The sequence below is a fragment of the Homo sapiens genome, chromosome 11, assembly GCF_000001405.40.
Source record: "Homo sapiens chromosome 11, GRCh38.p14 Primary Assembly".
Lineage (NCBI taxonomy): Eukaryota > Metazoa > Chordata > Mammalia > Primates > Hominidae > Homo > Homo sapiens.
Window position 1 is genome coordinate 30,544,337 of NC_000011.10, and position 21,977 is coordinate 30,566,313.

The 21,977-nt window shown below is 39.0% G+C and overlaps 1 protein-coding gene across 27 annotated transcripts in view, besides 2 other annotated features; it reads right to left on the reverse strand.

Annotated features, from left to right (window-relative positions):
* MPPED2 (metallophosphoesterase domain containing 2) overlaps positions 1 to 21,977 on the reverse strand; it is a 202,912-nt gene that overhangs the window by 160,258 nt on the left and 20,677 nt on the right. For 3 of the 27 annotated variants that reach the window (NR_165340.1, NR_165347.1, XM_017018231.2), the window contains one exon: positions 12,200 to 12,334. The exons of the other annotated variants lie outside the window; for them this stretch is intronic. The gene's annotated coding sequence lies outside the window, so the exon portion shown is untranslated. The remainder of the gene's footprint in view (positions 1 to 12,199; positions 12,335 to 21,977) is intronic. 27 annotated transcript variants of the gene reach the window in all.
* Positions 1,188 to 2,158: an enhancer, noted in NCBI's record as "OCT4-NANOG-H3K4me1 hESC enhancer chr11:30567071-30568041 (GRCh37/hg19 assembly coordinates)". NCBI's record gives its function as "activates a minimal SCP1, AML or CMV promoter by ChIP-STARR-seq in naive and primed H9 embryonic stem cells {active_cell/tissue: H9 hESC(naive and primed)}" and the evidence as "EXISTENCE:reporter gene assay evidence [ECO:0000049][PMID:30033119]".
* Positions 2,159 to 3,128: an enhancer, noted in NCBI's record as "OCT4-NANOG-H3K4me1 hESC enhancer chr11:30568042-30569011 (GRCh37/hg19 assembly coordinates)". NCBI's record gives its function as "activates a minimal SCP1, AML or CMV promoter by ChIP-STARR-seq in primed H9 embryonic stem cells {active_cell/tissue: H9 hESC(primed)}" and the evidence as "EXISTENCE:reporter gene assay evidence [ECO:0000049][PMID:30033119]".

The following is a 21,977-nucleotide window of genomic DNA, read 5'->3' on the forward strand; positions in this document are numbered from 1 at the left end:
AAAAAAGCCATGTAATACTGTACTGAGTGCCCATTATTCCACACAGTATGTTGGTCTGTCAGTTGGTCAAGCAGTAGGTCAATAACCATGTCTTAAGCACCTACCTGTGTACCAGGTACCCTGGTATGTATAAAGAAGACAAAGAAGCAATAAAGATGGTTCCCTCAAGGATTCTGCCAATTTACTATTCAACAAATGCTTACGAACATGCCTGGTAGCTGCTCTGTCATCTAGTCATTTCATAAGCATTTATTGAGCACCTTTTATGGGCCACAGACTGTGCTAGTTGCTGGAGAGACAGCTACCAGCCAGTCTGAGATGGTCCATGTGATATGTAAATAGGTGATTTATGAAATAATGCACAAAGTGTTATAATTAAGAATGTTTGAGGTGCTATGGAGTAAAAGGAAAAAATATCCAGCACTGCCTATGGGCTAGGAAGAAGGACAGGTAACATTGCAGTGGGTACAGAACACAAGGTAGTATGTCGATTTCAAATGCACGAGACAAAGGATTGGCACTATTAGGAGCTCAGAAAAAAGACGCATGAGAGTGGCCGGAAGCTGGGACCTCACTTGGAATTAAAATAAGCACAAGACTTGGAAACTCAGGAAGAAGGCCATCTAGAGAACTATTAAGAGTGGTGTGAAAGCACTTAGCATGTTCAGGGACTTGTGAGTAAACAAGCATGGCAGAAGCAGAGTCACTATGAAGGTGAGCAGAAGAAGATTTGAAAGGCCAGCGGGATTAGGGTCTGAACCTCAGGGAGTCAGACTATGGGGCTTGAACCTGGAGGGCATGGAAAACATCTTTCTCCCTCTACCCAGTAAGAGGAACAGAGGGCCACAGGGAAAGCTGAATTTTAGGAAAAGTGGGGTTGCTCCCTACAGGATGGGAGGTGGGGGGATTCTTGAGGAAAGGTTGGTTTGTAATTTATTGCTAAGAATCTAGGTATATAGTGACAAAACCAAATCCATTTGAGAAGAAAATACAAAGGAGAGAATGTGAAGGCAACAGGAAATTGATGGTTATCGTAAACAGAAACCATCATGATAATCACATAAATGTCTACTGTAAGGGAGAAGTAGAGAAGTAGTCAAAAATGAACTACAACATCCTACACCGAGTCTCCCGTAGCTCTATCTTACAGCCATCTATACCACTGATCAGGACACGAACATCATTTTTTGGCTGAATAGAGTAATAGTGATGATGATGATGATGAGAAATGGCAGCAGTTTTCATTGAGAAGCCAGGCACTGTACAGGGCACTTTACATGGATCACTTTCATTTGACCCTTACAGCGATAGGCTCTTTTTCCCATTTGGCACACAAAGACACTGAGACTCAGATTAAGCAATAGGGCAAAGGTACAGGGATAGGCGGTGGCTCTGCTCCAGTATGACTGCTCAATGTCTGCTTTACTCCAGCTTCTACAATCTCCTCTTACACAAAACAGCACACAGAGATCTAAGAGCAGATTCTGTTCTAAAATGGGACACATAGTTTTAGGCATGACTGATATACATATATATATTTTTTTTAGACAGAGTCTCGCTCTTGTCGCCCAGGTAGAGTGCAGTGGCACGGTCTCGGCTCACTGCAACCACCTCCCAGGTTCAAGCTATTCTCTTGCCTCAGCCTCCTGAGTAGCTGGGACTGCAGGTGTCTGCCACCACGCCATGTTGGCCAGGCTGGTCTCGAACTCCTGACCTCTGGTGATCTGCCTGCCTTGGCCTCCCAAAGTGCTGGGATTACAGACATGAGTCACCGTGCCCGGCCACAACTGATTCTTAAAAAGTAAGTTTATCAATTCAACCCAAAGTTCGGAAAAAACAATAGAGACATGCCTAAAACTATTATTTTAAAATCATAGTTTTAAATCAATCATTACAACATCATGAACAAAATGTGGATTATTTCCAAACACTGCCCGGCCTCAAACATGTCTTCACTTAGCTCACTCCAGTAGAAAGAACATTAAGAGCCATCAAACACACGAGCTTGTTTTTTTAATGTTGTAGGGGAGAGAGTTGGGAGTGGGGTTTACAAAGAGCATTAACTGACCCTAACTGACTCTACAAGATTTCTTTTTTATTAAAATTCAGCCCAAATTGAGAACAAATTCTGTCTTTTCTTCCTTTCCAACTCATCAAAGCCCAGTTCCTCAAAGCTTAATGTCCCACAAGTAGTTGTTAATGGGCTTCATTGTTTAGTTAATTGTGCTTATTGGAAGTGCAGGTGACTTCATATTTGCATGGCTAATGGGCCTTCTTTAAAGTGTGTGGCCATTTTAGTTGGCTTTTAATGGTCTGTATTGTTTTTTCCCAACTTTGAGTTGAATTGATAAACTTACTTTCTAAGAACCATCAATGCCTAAGACAAAAAGACCATTTTTTACTACATAGGGGACATCATTTATGTGAGTTTGAAGACAAATGCTTATTTGTAAGACAACATGATGTCAACAGTTAACCACCTTTCAAAATTAATTCAATACAATAATTATTAGACTTAATATTTGTTTCTCTGGAGGTGGTTTTGTAACAATAAAGAACTATTTTACCCTACCTCTTTATCCCTTGCAGAAATGGCTGGTTCACTTTTTAGCCACAAAACTCACATAGTTCCCACTCAACCAAAGAACTCATGAAAGACTACTTTCTTCCCTCTCTGGAAATGCATACTTACTACCTTGGCAGAGTATATCATACTTTCCTCATGATTTTCACAGGGTTTGTATATCCAAGTTGTAGACATGATGGGTTGACTTGCCCAAGATTGCCCAGCTAGTACATGGCTGAGAAGAGAATCAAATCTAGGTCTAACTGCAATTCCAGTGTTAAGCAACTTCAAACACTAACAAAGAGAACTACCATCTACTGTGTTGTGCTACAACAGGAGTGGCATGTCCAGAACTCTTTCAACAGGGAAAAGTTTGTTCACTCCTGATTTAGTCACTCAACAAACATTTACTAAGCAATAACTAAATGTTAGAGCTCTGATAGAAGCTTTATTACTACTAACAATCACGCCTAATATTTAGCAGTATTTACTATGTGCCAGGGGCTTTTTCTAAATTATTACCTTTAATCTTCTCAAAATCTCTGTGTGATGTTTGTGTATGGCTATGTGTGTGTGATATTCTGAATTCTCCAAACTTCACTTAAGGTCAAACATTAAGCTTGGAAGTTAGAATCTGGATTCTGGCCTATCTAAACCATGAGCCTATGTTCTTTGTATTGTATAACTTTGTAACTTATAGATAATGAAAAGCAATGCAAATAATTTTTGTCTACAGATGCAAATAAATTATGTCCAGTGGAGGTTCAATCGACTTCCCCTCCACTTTTGATCCATTTGCAAATTAATTTCAGCATTTTTTTATTCCATATAAATTCATGGTTCTACAAATCTGTTACAACAACTTTCTTGGTTCCCTCATTCATTAACAACCTAAGTAAATTTTCTGACAGGTGTTTGCATATCTGTATTTGAGTCAATTTTAAAAAAAATATTCTTTTGCAGAGGTTACGAAGATGCCATTTTTACTATCTTGAACCTCACACTTTCATTTGGGAGGGCATACATACCAAACTGTAATCAATGTGACCACAAATTATATATACCTATGTACATACTGGGGAGGGAGAATGGAGAAAGAATAAAGTGATTAAGAGGTCACTTCAGCAAACAGTGAGGTCACTTACAGAATCCACAAGACCTGGCTTTGGACCATGGCTTTCCCACTACCTGGGTATGACACTCTGGACAAGTTTACTAAACCTCTCAAAGCTTCATTTACCTCATCTATAAACTAGGGATAATAATAGTACTTGCCTCATAAGATTGACTATCAACACAAAAATTAAGTAACTATCTTTTTTTTTTCTTAACTGACGGGGTCTCTCTCTCTCCCAGCCTGGAGTGTAAAGGTGCGATCATAGCTCACTGCAGCCTTGAACTCCTGGGTTCCAGGGATTCTCCCACCTCAGTCTCCCAAGTAGCTGGGACTACAGGCATGTGCCACCACACCCAGCTTGTTTTTATTTTCTGATTTTTTGTACAGACAGGGACTTGCTATGTTGCCCAGGCTGGTCTCCAATTCTTGGCCTCAAGTGATTCTCCCACCTTGGTCTCCCAAAGCACTGGGATTACAGGTGTTAGCCACCATGCCCAGCTTAAGTAACTATTGCTTGTAAAGGGCCCAGTGCATATCGAATGCTCAGTAAGTGTTAGCCATCATTATTGAGATTCTTCTATGAGAAATATTGATGAAAGAAATTAGTTCTATTTAAAAATGGGTAGATCTTCACAAAAGAAGGTGCATTTTACCTGGGACTTGAAAGGTTAGGTCACCAAGCAAAGAACTGGAGTAATGTCATTAGACATAAAAGAAACAATTTAAATTGAAGAGGGAGAGAGTCATGAAAGGATCAACAAAGGTGAGTCATAGTGCCAAATTTACAAAGAGGTTAATTCCCAGGGGGACACTGCGTTTGTCAGGTGACCTGAATTTTTCTAAATTTGTTAAAGCTTGTGCCTCTCTACTTCACAGTTGTATGAAGATTACTAAAGCCAAATAGGAATGCATTATCCAGGTACCAATTTACATAAAAATCTAGACACCAAATCATCATGACTACAGTTGTGACTACTCACCAGTTCAAATACCCTTCAGGAATAAGTGGTTATTTTATTCTAAACTTTATAAGCAACAAAAAAATATGAGTTCAAAGTACAAACCACATTTTATACAGATCGAACTTTATACAACATACTTTAACAGTTAGCTCCCATTCAGTGTGTACGCATATGCATCCCTATACACACATGAAAATAACACACAAAGCCAATTACATCCTTGCTCTTATCCTGGACGTAACTGCTTTCTTTCTGTACCTGGTTATATGTCATTTCTACATTTTATTAGTCTTGTTATGGTTCACATCAAAATTTCCCCTGCTCTATTTCCAATCAATTGCTTTCTTGGATACTTTGGACAGGAGAATAAACTTCAGATAATTCTCAATTCTGTGTCAACATTTGCTAAAAGTTTACTAGAAACTCTTAATGCACCATGTTTGCATAATCCCATCTGTTTGCTCCTTTTTATTCCTTCATATGCTCAAGTGAATGCTAAACTGTAAAAGGCCCACTATCTATACATATGAGTTCTACAAAGTTGCCTACTGTAGAGACTTGCAGGTCTCCTATAACTCAGGAATATCAACTGTCTCTGTTAAGAGCAATGATGGATAAGATGGAAAAGATTTAACTTTCAATTTTGGGCAGGAAGATTACTTCCTCAAAAAGCCTTCTCCTAAAAACAAAAACAAAAACCTCACAGGTACTCCCTGTGCCCTACTATTAGAGCTCATCCCAGCTCTAGTCTCTGGAGGTTCTGCCCTGTGATTGTTTCAAGCTCTCTTCCTCATGAAGAGGTGCACACGTGACTGCCGCCATCGATAAAGGCTGAAGTGAGTGTACTTAGCTAAAGGGCATTGCAATAATTTTTCTCTTCCACGTGAGAAAGTTAGCCTTGAAAATTCTCTGGCTCACTGCTTGTTTTTAAATCATCTTTTGGGGAGGGGTGGCCAAGGGGGCATGTTAAGTTCAAATCAGCCCCTCTTCCCACTCCCATATCAATTGCTTTTTTAAAATAATAATAAGATAGTAGCACCTATCAAGCCTTCAGATTTGCTTTGAAGACAGTGCTAATGACTCAACATTTTAATGGGCAATGCCCCCCAATGTCCATTGTAGGAAAGCAGTCCTCGCTGATAGATTAAATTTGATTAGCACTGGGGCTGGCGCTGTTCCGTGGAGGCAATGTGATTCCTGTAGGAATCTAGGGTGAATGGTAGCCTGAGAAACAGTCAGTGAAAAGATTTATAATCTCCAACAACAAATCAGCCCCTGGTTCCAAAGAAATCATTGTGTCTTTCCCACCCCTGCTGTAGCATGTCATCTATACTAGGAAACACACTGAGTATCTTGAACCCATTTCAATGACTGCAGCAGGACTAGAATATAATTTTTCTTTGTTTGCCCTGACTCTTAAATGTTTGCTTCCAGAGCCAAAGCCCGTCAGTACTCCCATTATGGCCTTGCAGAGGGGATGTGAGAATAGTCAGGAATTTTGATGGGAGTTTACCACAGCAAAACTTCCCAGAGCACTGGTGGCAATTTAGGAAGCAGGTAATTTTTAAAAGCACTTGGCCTGAAGGGTATGGACAAGTTCACACACACATTTGATGTTTCCACGGCTTGCACGGCTGAAGAAATGAGCTATTTCCATTCTCCTCTCATTCCGGAGTGAAAGAGTAAAACCTCAGCCAGGTCTGTCCGGGACACTTTACTAACCAGAAAGCACAGCCTGGGGAAAAAATGCAATAAAATCTCCCGCCAGGTCCAGTTCAGGCCCCTTCATGATGAGAGGCCAAACATCAGGAAAATTTGGTAGCAGTAATGCTGGGTTTCTGAGTTACAGTGTTTTCTCACAAGTGATTGAGTATAATTCACTCAACTTGTTCTATGCAAACTGGACTTGTGTTTAAGTCCCAGTTAGGACTTAAACCCAAAGAAAGTTAACTACTTTGCCCCTCTGACCTGCCTGCTATTCCCTTCCATCTTTATCATGTATATTGGTAGAATCTTTCATACTTTTTCAAAAAGTTGACTCATACATAATTTCAATTCATTCTCATCTTATCAGTAAAAAGGGCATTGTAATTATTCCCATTGGAGTCTAAGAACAAGAAGGGTTGAGTGACTTGTTCATGGCCAATGTTAGCAGCAGAACTGGATCCACACTCTATACTTCCTAACCCCCAGTAATAAAAATAATCACTAACATCAATGAACACTATTCCCACGCTTAGGCACCATGCCAAGCACTTTATGAACATTACCTCATCCATTCCTTGAGAGAACCCTATAAGGTAGGTATTATTAATCCCATTTTACAGATGAGAAATACTGGACTTACAAGGTTACATAATTTCCCCATAGTCAGAGATGCTATAAATCATGAGGCCTCTGTTATAAGAGGAATAGAATTCCTCAGCTTACCTATAGTCCCTCCCTGTCCAATGCTTTTGTCTACACAAACTCAATGCTAAGTTGAAAAATTGTAAGTTTTCTCCTGATTTCAAATAAATTCCTTTTAAAATATCTAATAAATTTATGAATTCTAGTTTGGTCCATTTTGATACTGTCAAAAAGAAAACACACTACAAACTGAAAAGTGCTGTCTTTTGTCAGGTGTTTTTACTGATCCAAGTATTATTTGCTTCTATCTCTTATTTCGTTTAAAAGAAAAACAGATGGTTTAATATAAATTCCTGCATGAAGTTTTCTAGACTCCCCAGCAAACTTTATGAGCATAGTAAGTTCTAGAGACAAACAGCATGGATTTAAATCCCAAATACACAAACGGACAACCTCTGGAATATGGGCAAGTTACTCAACCTCATACTTCAGTATTCTCACATCTGTGTTAGGGGTAAAAATACTTCATAAGGATGTTATGAAGAAGAAGTAATGAGAATGCACTGAGCACGGTATAAATGACCCATAATTACTGGAATTGTTTTGTTGTTTTTCTGCCTCTGCAAAATTTCTCAGGATTGCCCTAATTTCACTAGGTTGAAAAAACCTGAACACACTCCTTGATGAAGTGTTCCAAATACAGGTCTCTCATAAACAGATAATAAAGCATCCTACACCCTAACTGGGAAAAAAATCATGTCATTTTACACTTCATAAGTCAATTCCATCTCTTAAAATTATTATTCATCCGGTACTATTAAAACTGTCATCTTCTATAGCACCTCAGTACTCCTATCAGATAGGTAGGTGTTCTTGAACACAATGTCCTGCGTTAATCTGGTCAAACAGGAGCCATCTGCGAAGCCAGAATGGCAAGGGACAAGCAAATTTCCCCGATCCACAAACGGGAGTTTCCCCAAAATATAAGAAGTTTTATTTTTACTGTGAAAATGCTTTTTTTACCCTAGTTATGTAATATATGCTTACTAAAGTTAGGGATAATTAACGTTAGTAAAATTAAGAATATGTATATAAAAAGCAAAGAAAGATGAACCCATAATTCTGCCTCCCAGAGATAGCTACTAGTAACATTTTGGTATCTTTCCATTTCATCTTTCTGCTATGCATTTTAAAAATATAATTGGAATCATTCTGCATGCAAAATGTTATATTCTGGGTTCTCTTTCTTTCTGTTTTTGTTTTGTTTTGTTTCGTTTTGTTTTTTCTCTCTCTCTCCGTTTAGACCATTATAACGTCAGCATTTTCCATGTTACTGCAGACTCTTTATAAACGTTTTCACTGGCTGTGGGATATTTCACAGGTTAGTTTTGTCACAATTTTCTTAACCATTTCCCTTTGCTATACCCCCCAAAGGCTTTTAAGCTGTCAGGCCCAGACAAGATTTCTAGACACACAGCCCTAAGGATGGGGCCTGCCTGTGGTCATAAACCAAGCCATTTTGGGAACTAGGTACATCACTTTTCACGATAGGTAAGAATCACCATGAGTCCTACTCTTCAAATGCCAACAGACCCTGAGTCCAGTGATGTGTGAACCCCAAATGCCAGTAGTTCTGGTCAACAATTACAGCAACTCCTCTAGGATAAATAAAATAATGTTCTCGACAGGCCCGGCCACCCACGGTGAGCACAGGGAAGAGCACAAACACCTCCCACCCACCTCTGCTGCCTGTGTTCCAATGCAAACCAAGGGTGCAGATGTGAATTCCTTCTTTTCTCCTCTTGCCCTACTCAGTTTATTTCCAAAAATCACTGTTCCATCACCACTCAACACCATTTGCCATGAACTGCACCATAAAACACACTTTTTAAATAACAGACCACGTTCATTATATTTTCTTTTTTAAAAAAGAAGGCAGAAGGGCAAGCATTAGGTAGAAAAAACAATGTAGAACTTGCAATAGTCATAGACTGTAACACTGAAATCAGAAATCACAATTACCAAGGCTCTTTTAACACCCTCATGCACATGTATGACCATCATCTAAAAATCCAAGATTCAAAGCTAAGTCTTTGAATTTAAAAATGGTTGTGTGGTCTTACAGAACAACTTCTAAGTTGCATTTGCATTTCTTATGGTTCAAACAAACAAACAACAAACACGAATTTTTGTTTTAAGCAGTTAAAGGTTAAGCAAATACAAAAGAGCATTTTTGCACTTCTAGGCACAGTAGCTGGAATTTTGAAAATCTTCACCGTTCCTGTTAAAATAAGATTGAGAAACAGGAAAGAAACTGCTTCAAGTTGAAAGTCAGGATGGCTTAATGGAAAACAATGGGCTTTGTCAGGATAAGAGCTGGGCCTGAATTCTGATTCAAGCCACATGCGGGAGGGATAAGCAGCCACTTCAAAGGGTTCTTTGAGTGTTAAACATGGTACCTACAATGCCAAGCACCATCTCTGGCACAGAGAGTGTAAGGATTGCAGAATTATTGTCAACAAGAAGAAAAGCCTATACTGCAAGGAGGAGGAAGCTGTCAGGGAGTCATATTGCACTGACAATTTATGAGTGTAAATAATCGTAAGCATAAGGTCAAGGACCTAGAGATTAAGAACCTAGGACTATTGCTTCTTTTTGTTAACTTCATGAAGCAAACCAAGAACTGAGAACAAAAAGTACACTCTTCCTAGACTTCTTGGTTTGTCTTGAGGCAGCCTGCCCAATTTAGAGTCCTTGGGTACTTTGTGAATTTCTCAGCAACTGCAGAGACTGGTTCTCCGCCCTCATGTCAATCCCCTACACAGAGCCGTGGCAACTTTATGCCCATCACTCAGTTTAGTCCAAGGCCAGGCTCCTAAACCCACCCTGATTGTAGGTGGCACTCAGAAAAATCCTAATGCAGGCTTCACACTGCTCAGAGACAAGTCATTCTGCTTGTCTGCCACTGCTTGTGTTTCACTTCAATTCTAGTAAATGGGCTTCTGCCTCTTTCCTGTTGTTAAGCTTTGCTATCCTACCACAACTCCAGGGACTGCAGTATGTCCTTGTCCTGTTCCTTGAAGGGTAGTCTCCTGTTTTAAAATTTTTGCTCTGAAACTCCAAAATATCCATTAGATGTTTGCCACTTGCTCTGCATTTTAGAGGTTGTTTTGTTTCATTCTGAGATAGAGTCTCACTCTGTTACCCAGGGTGGAGTGCAGTGGCACCATCTCAGCTGCAACCTCTGCCTCTCAGGTTCAGGAGATTCTCGTGCCTCACTCAGCCTCCCAAGTAGCTGGGATTACAGGGGCCTGCCACGACGCCCAGCTAATTTTTGCATTTTTAGTAGAGATGGGGTTTCACTGTGTTGGCCGGGCTGGTCTTGAACTCCTGACCTCAAATGATCTGCCTACCTTGGCCTCCCAAAGTGCTGGGATTACAGGCATGAGTCACCATGCCCAGCCTGCACCACATTTTCTTTGGGTTAGAAGATCCCCACGTGTGTCTGTCCTTAGGCCTGACGTCACATGCTGGCTTCTCTGACATCAGTTCTCTAAGTACACTGCTCATTGTGATTTCTTGTCCTCTCCAAACCCACAATTCACACCAGCCCCAAATGCAGATAGTCTCCCAGATTCCACAGCTGTGCTGGTTTAGACTATTCTGTCTCCTCCACCATTTCCCAGATGCCATGGTATATGAAAGCAGAATTACCATCATCTACTTAATTCACCCCACAGGACAAACTATTCTCACTCAACTACAAATTATTTTCCTAATGTTGGACTTTTTTTCTTCCTCCTCATGGAAACTATTTTAGTCCATGTCCTCTGAACTGGTCACTCAGCCAGGACTCAGTCCACTTGACAGTCCAGGCACCCCAAACACCACCTCAACACTGTGACTCTCTTGCTATAGTGATATCAAGATACCCCAAATCACAGATTTGTGGCACCAGAAAGCAGTTTTAGAAACTTACTTTATATCTTACAGATAAGAAAATGAGACCCAGATATTAATATCAAAGTGTGAGTCAGTGGCAAGGCTGAAACTAGGAATTTTCAGACCTAGAGTACTTCAGGCTACTGTTCACATGGTTCTTAGATGAGTGACATGGTTTGGCTGTCTCCCCACCCAAATCTCATCTTTAATCGTAGCTCCCATAATCCCCATGTGTCATGGGATGGACCCAGTGGGAGGTAACTGAATCATGGGGGCAGGTTTTTCCCGTGCCCTTCTCATGATAGTGAATAAGTCTCACAAGATCTGATGGTTTTATAAAGGGCAGACCCCCTGCACATGCTCTCTTTCCTGCCACCATGTAAGACATGACTTTGCTCCTTCTTCACCTTCTGTCATGATTGTGAGGCCTTCCCAGCTGTGTGGAACTGTGAGTCCATTAAACCTCTTTTTCTTGATAAATTACGCAGTCTCAGGTATTTCTTCATAGCAGTATGAAAATGGACTAATACAATGAGTATGTCTATGAACCAATGAAAAAAACAAATCCTCTGCACATTCCCCTGGAATCTCAAATTCTTCATTCCAGCCCAGTCTCCACATATTTTTTTAATACTCCCATACTGACATGTTCTTTTAGGAAATCTCTTTCTTCCACAGGCCAAAGATTCCTCAAGGTAGAGAAAATCTTTTCCTTCTTAAATTTTTCCACTCAGTTTTAGATGTTCAGCTGAAAGTTAATAGCCTTGAGTGTTCCTTCTGTAATTCCATGACTTACGAGAGTGAGGTTTCCATTTGCCACTCTCTCCTGCATTATCATCAATCCCTGTAGCCTTTCAGTGGAAAGTCCGGGAACTAATAATACAAAGAATTTTAAGTAACTTCAGCCTAAAAGCTTAGAATGCTTGAAATGTAAGGATCCTTGGAGACCATCTTCTCTAACCAGTATTAGTCTCATTTTACAGACTAAGGAATGGAGGCCTACACCATTTGACTCTTAACCCAATATGCTCTTCTCCATGCCATTCCCCAACCTCCAAACAATGAATTCCTCCATATTTGTTTCTGAGTGAAGATGTCATCCTAGGTCATGCTTCTCTATAGAATCTCAATCAGTGGAACTATCCCAAAAATATGTTTGTGGGTCTGGATTGCATTTACCTCATGCTTCTTCATGACTTCAATTCCACATGGTTTTATCATGAACATTGTTTGGAAAAGAAAATAAAATAGTCAAATCCAAACCTTTAATCCACAAGTCTGTCACTGCTTCCTTGACAGATTAGCATGGCCTATAGATTCAGGCAAAGTTGTGTGTCATTGACAAGCTGTAAAACCCAGGTCACCCTTGGCAGCCTCTTTTAGCCTTGGTTTTCTTATCTGCAAAATGGGAATAACACCACTCACTTCCTAGGGTTATGATATAATATATTACAACAATTAACACTTGGCTTGGTACACAATAAGCATTCAATAAATGGTAGCCATATTATTTATTATCATTACTATTATTATCATTTCTGTAGATTTTGCCTTGTCTGCCTTGGCTCTTTTTGACTGGTCTCCTTGTTCTAACTTAAGCCATATGACCCTATAGGCCAGAAAATGTAAGAAGAAAGAGAAGGGATTCCCCAAAAGCAGTGTTGAACCAAGTTAGGGCAATAAGATGAGGAAAAGATCATCAGAATAAAAAAAAATCAAAATCATAAGGGGGTTAGTTTTACACTCTAGGCTATCACAAATTTTGCATCAAGACTGATACATTGGGCATTACATTGAAACATTTTCCCCCATAATGCATTTATGAGATTATCATTTCAATTTTGTTAAACAGTGCTAGATTCAGTTTGTTTGTGTGCCTGGCACATAGCAGGAATTCAATGAGCGAATGAATAAAAGAATGACTGTGCCAAATAAGCAAATTATATATATATAATATATATATCAAAACTCTGAAACAGCTGTATTTGCTATTTCATTTATAAGGTTAAAGTAAGTTTTAGAATATTTCTATCTTAACTGGAGATATCAATTAAAACGCTTTGTTGGAGAAAATGTATCATTTCCTATAATGCAAAATATAAGAATTCAAATATACTTTGGAAATTTATAGGTATTTTCATTTATTCATGACTCATGATAGCTCGAAAGCAGCTATTATGTCAAGGCAAATTATTAGCTCTCACTATTGTATAATAAACAGAGCTATAATTCATGTTTATTTACAAATATTCTTTCTAGTTATGAGATTTAGCACATGTCCATCCATTATGATTGTTAGTTTCCTTTTGTTTTCTTTTAAGGAAAGGCTACTGGCTAAATAACCAATCAATAAACATCTCTAACCAGCTACCTTGGTGCTGTTAACAATGGAATGTGCAATTATTTCCGTCTCCCATATTCCCATTTATATAGAATGATCTGGATCAACTGCTGGGTCAACATTCTGACAGTCAGTCCAACATATTTGAAGATAAGTGAAAAGTTGCTATAGTAATATGTATGTGAGAACTCTTCATGGCAATGACCATGAGGGATCCAATCAAAGAAACATTAGCCTGGTAAGAAGAGCCTCATGGTCAGAGGGAGAAAGTCAAATGTGAGAACTCACTAATGAATTTTATTCCTTGGGCGTGTTGAACTGGAACCTAAGGGCCTTGCTAGGAAGATATAAATAAATACGAGTAAAGATAATGTCTGTGGCTGGAAAATATGAAGAACTCTTTCTTTATGTGCCCATGACCTGGCTCCAAGGACAATCCTCAAAAAGTGGTTTCACAATTGTTTTCAGTGATATTGGTATTGCAGGAATTGGTCAACCAATAGAACATGCACACACACATATACACACACACACGTATATATTTTGTATGTATTTTATTATTATTATTTTACCTATTCTGGTAAATTTATTAAAAAGAAAGAAAAGTCTGGCTGAGTGGTTTATAGTCACACTTCAAACCCAATAGTCGTTCTCATGCTGAAATTCTGGGATCATCCTATATCTTTCTCTTTCCTCAAAAGCTATAGTTCAGCTATTCCCAGGTAAGAACTGCCTTACTTATATGTACTTTGTAAACTTTTTTCCCCTTTTTCTTTCTCTTTCTTTTGCTTCCTTCTTTTTTTTTTTATTTTTTATTTTTTGAGACAAGATCTTGCTCTGCCACCAGGCTGCAGTGCAGTGGACTGATCACAGCTCACTGCAGCTCTGGCCTGCCAGACTCAAGCAATCCTCCCACCTCAGCCTCTCAAGTAGCTAGAAATACAAGTATGTGCCACCACACTCAGCTTTTTTTTTTTTTTTAATTTTTGATAGAGACAGGGTCTTGCTATGTTGCCCAGGGTAGTCTCAAACTGCTGGCCTCAAGTAATAACCCTGCGTTGGCCTCCCAAAGTGCTGGGATTACAGGCAGGAGCCACCTTGCCCAGCCCTTCCTTCTTTTCTTCCTTCTTCCTTTTCTCCCTCCCTCTTTCCTTCTTTCTTTCTTTTTTTTTTTCTGGCTTGGGAATACACTAAAATTTGAAGAGAAAAATTGAAAGCAGAAAAATGCTTTGAGTCACAACCAATTCTTTTCAAATAGTCCACAAACCTGGTCCTCCTCATTTGGACAATTACAGCCAAAAGAAGGATCTAGTTTCAAAGTGCAGCTGCTCATTTGAAGTGGGATAAGCATGGTTAATTTTTTCAATGAAAAAATGGTGATGAATGGAATAGAAAATAAAGATATCTTTAAAGCTAGACCAAAGAAAAAGTTGTTTTAACTCCAGAAGGTCATCAATTTGGAAATATTATCCAGAGAATTTTTCAAATCACAGAGAAGAGCTTCCAGGAAATCTTAAATGACTACTAATGAAAAGTATTCCTTAGAGTCCAGTTGAAATAAAAGTCACAATAGTCACATATGTAATTCTATGCCCTAAAACACCCAGCTGCAGGGGAATCTATAGGAACCCAACGGGATCCCAGTGTTCACAATTATCTTCTTTGTAAACCACAGAGCAATAGTAACAAAGGTCTTTACAACTTTTATTAATAAAAATGTATTGTAAATTGCAATCATATTTAAATTCTTATGACTTCATAATATTATTTTGCAAACTAAAACAAAAAAATGATCTTTAAAACCATAGTTAATTGTGATCACATGAGTATTTTGCTTTGTGGAAATTTATTGCATGAACATGCTTAATTTGTATACATTTTAACTTGCATGATGTGTCAATTAAAAGCTTACTAATTAAAAAGAAACTATACTCAATCTTCTCCTTCCGAATGAAATGTTTTTCCTAGATACATTCTTTTAAATAATATGGGAACACAAAATTGCGTATCTCCTTCAAAGTCTTATAGAAAAAATTATAAGCTATGTTTGAAAGTTATTTTTTTAATTTTAGTTTTTAAATATAATTTCAAAAATAAATTATTTTTATTCCATGTGAGGCATACTAAATTTAATACCTCTCCAAATAACCAAAGGGCATTTTGTATCAAGCACCTACACTGTGTTGGTATATCATTATGACTGGCATGCCTTTTCTTTTTGAAAATAGTCTTCACATGTATTTCCTTTTTGAAAATAGTCTTCACATTATGCCCTATTTTGAAAATAGTCTTCACATTATGCCAAAGGGCATAATGGGCACTATAGCTGCCTGTTGCCTTGTGGAGTTTTATCAATAATGTAGCTAATAAACAGATGTTTTGTGGGTAACCACACTGTGTTATAGGTTATCTAAGAACTCATACCTTTGCTTTGACTTCCACCAGCATTCACGAATTAAGAAAACCTCAGGGGAGAGGGGAGGTGTTGTATGAAATACAGCATTCTCATTTGTCACCAAAATTACTGACTTTTGAAGTCAGTAATTATTTTTATTGTGTTTATTTGTTTTCAAGAAAATAAGTGGGAGAATCTTACAATGACTTCTGAGTCCTCTGTCTTAAGGATACCTCTTAAAGGGTCAATTAAGATATGTATTTCATAGTAGTTGCTTAAAAGATGACTAACAAGTTTTTTTTTTAAAAAAAAAAAATATGTTAACCATTTTCTGTGGCCAACTGCCTGAAAAGCTTCAGATTGCTTTATATTTCCAACCAACACTGACTGGCATTTACTCTTAGTAAGCAGAAGTTGTCACAAACGACAGAAAGTGATTAGCAATCACTTGCTACACGGCATGAGATAGTCTTAAAACTCCCATTTACCCCCTACTGAACCAATATCTTAGCTTATTCTAGAGGACATGAACAAGTATTTCTCTAGCAACTAACATAAGTGAAAATACAAGCCCTAGCTCCGTAGAATGCCACAAATTTGGTCACAAAGGAAAATGAAAGCAAGCACCCTAATACTAACTCAAGACACTTTACTTGGAGAAAAACAGCCTGCATCCCATAACATTTTATGATACCAAATGAGATGCAGGCAATGTAATTTCACTTATGTGATTCACTTACAGGCGATGCAAATGCAATCTTGCTGATTACATTTAAAACAAAGGACTGAATCTGCTTATTTATAGAGCAGGCCCATAGTCATGCAAAAATCATGCTACCCCCCACCTGGTGTGGAAGAAAAAGAAAACAATCAGGCTGAAGACCTTTACATCTCCACAGAAAGAAAAATGATGTTAACGTGAACCCTGGGTTGACCCAATATGCTTAACAACGTGGCTTCTTGGTGCCCTGAATAGAAAACAAGGTCAACTGTGTGAGTAATCGTTAGCTGAGGTGTTCAACCCACATGCAAACATGTCCAATGTTTTATTTGTTTTTTAAATAGCCAAAAGGAGTGTTCTGCAAGCATTTTCATCTATGTTTAATTTTAAACCTTCATGTGGGTGTGCATATACACACACACACACTTATTTCAATATGGACTGCATAGATATATAATTTCTACAGTGAAATAAATACTGCTACAGCCAGTATATTCACTAGTTGGACTCTGCACAATGTGTATTTTATGAACTTCTCTGCCTACTAAGTTGGGGTCTTGAGCATTCCAGAGCCACTGTTTTTAATCATCACCAAAAACTAGAGCTTTTATTAGATAATTTCCTCATTATGAAGTTCAATAGTTCAACTTAATGTGAAGTTCAACAGTCTCAACTAAATGTGAATGTACTGCCAAATGCCATCTCTGAACTTCCCAGAAAAGCAACAGAGCTGGAAGAATTCTAGTATGTCCTGAGATGCTCAGTTTTTAAAGGTCTAACAGGTAATACTGGCTCAATGCTGGCAAATAAACCAATGCCCAGCCACCAGCCACTGTGCCAACATCCTAGGAGTCTGGCTGCAGCCTTACTGATAGCTAGATCGTAGCAACCTAGGCAAAGAGGGTTATTATCAAAGCCAACTTGGGCCCAGCTGCAGTCCAACATAAAGAAGTTTAATGTGATACCTTACACCTGCCACCCCACATTTTCCAAAAGGAAAATTGCCTGTGGCTAAAAGTGCTCCTTGTGGAGCAACCTGTGACCACAGGGTTTCTCAACCCTAAAGAAGAAGATGCACTTCAGTAGCCTACCAAGTGATGCCAACACCAATGATAGAGAACAGAAGCAATTTTCTGTGCAGTAACACCACTTCCTTTTGGTCAGAGACATCATTTACAAACAGTAACCTCTGTGAACTTCTCAAAAATGGTGGTGCCTTTGAAGTTACCCTTGATCTTTGATACTCGACCATAGTCAGATCTGAAAACCACACTCAAACTGAGCTTTGTAAAATGTACTGGGTTGAAGCATCCCACCTTTCATCTTCATGTCTCCAAATGGAAAAGACCTAGAAGCATATAGGTTTGCTCATTTCCACACACAGCAAGCAGTGGGCCAGAAACCACCTAACTTGTTTGAAATGTAAGCCATTATCCAAGCCACAGCATATGGCCACATACTTCTCAACTCCCACAACCAAGCAAAAATGCAATTGCTGTCCAAGTGTGCACAGGCTCTGAATAGGAAATGGCAGTGGTTTCTGGAGCCCATAAGGCCAGAAGATGCTGCCAGACTTGAGAAGAACCAAAGGACAAAAGAGTGGTAGAAACAGGAGGACATATTCTGAAATGAAAGTAATGTGTGATCTTCCAGGGCAGAAAATAGCTGCTCCTGTTTATTTTAAACTGCTTTCCATCACAGGCTGCCTCCTACGGGAAGCCTACCTTCTTTCACGTTTGGGAGAAGAATCAAACCTGATGCATGCCTACAGGGAAAAACTAGGAAATAACATTGTAAAGCATTTCAGTAGAACTAAGGCAGACGCCCAAAAAATCTTATTTTAGACATGTTCTTGAATTCTTCCTTGCTTCTCCTACTCAGTTAGCATTTATTGTGCCCCAAACTGTAAGTTCCTTAGGCACCTACAGCTTATTAAGGGTCATAAAGAGTCACATTCTGTACTAGAAACCAGCAGTTCTGCTTGACCTTGAGCACATCACTCAACCTCTCTGGGCTGCCAGTAGGCCATACGTAAAATTCTCTACTTCTGTTTCCTTCACAGTGAGTACAGCACAAAAGTACTTTAAGAACCTTGATATTCTATTACCAATAATGCACACATGATTATTTTATTAAATATTATTTATTTCAGATGCATTTGATTGTCTCTGTAAACAGGCAAGACACGCTAGCAGACAAGGATTGGGGGTTTATGGTTCTATATTATCCTGACTGCTAAACCAAATAAAACATTCCTTCATTAATTTGTTCATCAATAATTATTTATGCATCAGGCACTGTACTATGCATTGGGGATAAAACGAGAAGCAAAACAACCAGGATCCCTGCATCCCATGCTACTTCTAATAAATACTTATTGATTTACTGTAACATTTTCAATGACACCCAGCTTCCCCCAGACATCCCACTCTCCTTGCTCATTTCCTCCCTCCCTGTCCTATAGATCAGCAGTCCCCAGCCCTTTTGGCACCAGGGACAGGTGTGGTGAAAGACAGTTTTTCCACAGATGGGGGTATGAGGGGGTACGTTTCAAGATGAAACTGGTCCACCTCAGATCATCAGGCATTAGATTCTCATAAGGAGTAAGCAACGTAGATCCCTCGTATGCACAGTTTACAATAGGGTTTGGGCTCCTATCAGAATCTAATGTCGCAGCTGATCTGACAGGAGGTGGAAGTCAGGCAGTAATGCTGGCGCAGCTCACCTCTACAGAATACCCAAGGTAGCCTCAATCACTTAGTGCCAAAAAATGAGAGCTCCCAACAAACCATTCTTAAGGTATTGATAAGTAAGTGACAGGAGATAGTAGGGGCAATTTCAGCAAACTGTAAGGAGGGACACTGAAGCAAGCATGATAGGCCATTAACTAGTGCTTAGGTAAGCATGTTAGTAGCAGAGGCAACTCTAAAGAGGGTGGGGAGATTCTGAGTTCAGAGAGAATTTACTGTGAGGACAAAATGACAGGAGAAATACATATTGAAGACTGTTTATTGATTTGTCAAAGATGAATTTGTTACTGAATCATGGACAAGGCAGAGGATTCAAGATCAGCCAGCATCAATCCTGCCCTTATAGGGCTTCCAGTCTAGAAAGGGCAATATTGCTATGTGTGGGTATCCCCTTATAGGAGCGAATGTACATGTCAAAATGGAGGTAACTTGTGCTGGGAAATTGATGGATTTAAGTCATGAGACACTGTGTAAGGCTGATCTTTTGATCTTTCTCCCACATGCTTCTTTGTTCTGGGAACAGGCCTTGAGAAACAACTGGGAAAAGGAAATTGACAAACTCTTTCTTCTACTCTGGCTAGAGGAAAGCTAACTCCCTCTTGCTACTATGTCTTAACCTTTTCTCAAGATCTCATGTTTATCTCTGTGAGTCACCTGGGCTGGCAAGATACACATCTACTAAGCATTTTGTATTTTTAGTGGCTTCTTCTAATTGACCCCAAGGTAATCATTCCCTGACTTTGTCTGCCCTCAGCTTTCATGTATATCTATCCATTCAAGCAAACATAGGCTTATAAATTCAGGCTCTGGGTGTTCTATACCTAGTCATGCCCAGCTGCACTGGAAGGTCTTCTACCTCTGATCATGACGATAACACCAAATGAAACACTTCTATAGAACTTACTACGTCCCCAGAAAATTTGGTAGGTACTATACTTAAAGCAGTTGATTTAACCTTTGCAATGGCCCTTTGAGAAAAGTACTATTTGCTTCCCTCATTTATGGATGAGAACACAGAGAGGTCACATTTATGGATAAGAACACAGAGAAGTCAAGTAACTCACTCAAAGTTGCACAGAGAGTAAGAGGGAGACCAAGATTCAAACTTTGGCAGTATGCTTCTGGAAACCACGTTCTTAAACACTATATTGCTTCCCTGTCTCCTCAGGCAATGAAGCTCAGAAATATATTTTCAGACCCTTAGGCATTTATTACAAAACTATTTATTGAAGCCTTATATGTTAAACTCGACTACATGTTCTTAATTTACTGAGCATTCACACTTATTTTAAAAAATCTAACCAAGAGACCAAAATGAGGGAGAGAGTCCTTGAAACAAATGCACTCAATTCTATGTGCATGGAATGCATTCATGCCCCCCAATCTGACTCCATGTGTGAGCAAACAAGATACATAAATCTGAGTAGCGTGGCTGTTCATGTAAACAATTCAGAACCTTATCATTCCTCTCTGAACTGACTCCAATTCATCAAAAATGTAAGAGTGAGTTATATATGACATCCTCCATTAACTGAAACACACCAATAAATTTCCAAAATGTAGGACTCAGCACCAAAAAGAAAAAAATGGGTAGAGAAATCCCCACATATATTGTGGAACTCCGTGCAGCCTGTGTCTCCCCTGTGCAGTCTTGAATCATGCATAATGCAACACCGCAACTGCTAACAGCAGGCGCGCACCAGATAATTTACACTTGTTTTTATGGACGCGAGGAACTGATCTTTGAAGCTGTCCCTAATGAGATTCCGCTTGGCCCTAACAGCATCCTGAGAGAGTGTTCCGGTTTTCTACTTGGCATCCGGTGCATATTTATAATGCAGAATACAGGCTCATTTAAATTGCGCATGTGGATTTTGGTGTCTTCCCTATTTTAAAGAAAGATTTTCATATACTAAGGAGCACTGACTCCTCAATTACTAAACCATAATTTACCTAAACAATGTCACTGCCAGCCCTACAGGTACTTATCAAAGACGTAGGTCCATCAGAGCCCCTTTACCTACAGGGCAAAAAGCTCCTCCAGCTCCAACCCTGCACTCAAGTCCAGAGACTCAATTAGGTCTTCAGCCAAAGGTCATCTCCAGAAAGTCTAATTATACAACACCTTCCTTAGTAGACACAGCCACAGGGAAAGTTAGAGAGAAAACCTGAAGTCAGTCATCTAAATTAAAAACTTCCTGCCCCAAAAGTGCTTGTGATACAGACTTCTCTTTCTTAGTATCTCCCCTCTTTTAATTTCTGTGCCATGTAAAATTTTCTTAAGCCTGGCAGTTTACAGCAGGATCTTTTCCTGATCATTTGCTTTTCAAGGTGTTGACAGTTTAGTCACCCACAATTAGAACTCCATTGCATACTTACTTTGAATTTCCTTTGTTTTACCTTTAAGTCAATGTTTTTAAGAATGGTTTTCAACCACTGCCATACCAATACTGTTATGACGGTGTTATCTGTATTTAACCCAAATCACAGATTTTTGTCAAAAAAGTTGTTCTGTAAAAATTTTAAGAGTTTACTATTAAAAAAAAAATGTAGAGTTGTTAAACATCAGAGTACAGAATAAAAACTGGTTCGCCTTATTCAAAACGCATGATTCCCATGATGACAGATGACCCGTTTTCATGGTCTTCATTTCAAGTAAACTCCACATATTAGGAGCAGTTGTCACGTTCCAGGTAAGTGGGCTGAAATATATCTTAATTAATTTAATGCTTCTGACCGATAATTGTTGACTCCAAATATGATCAATAAGTGAGCACTTTATAAGGAGTTAAAACAATATACTTTCCGATGCCTCCATTTTAAAATTAAAGAAC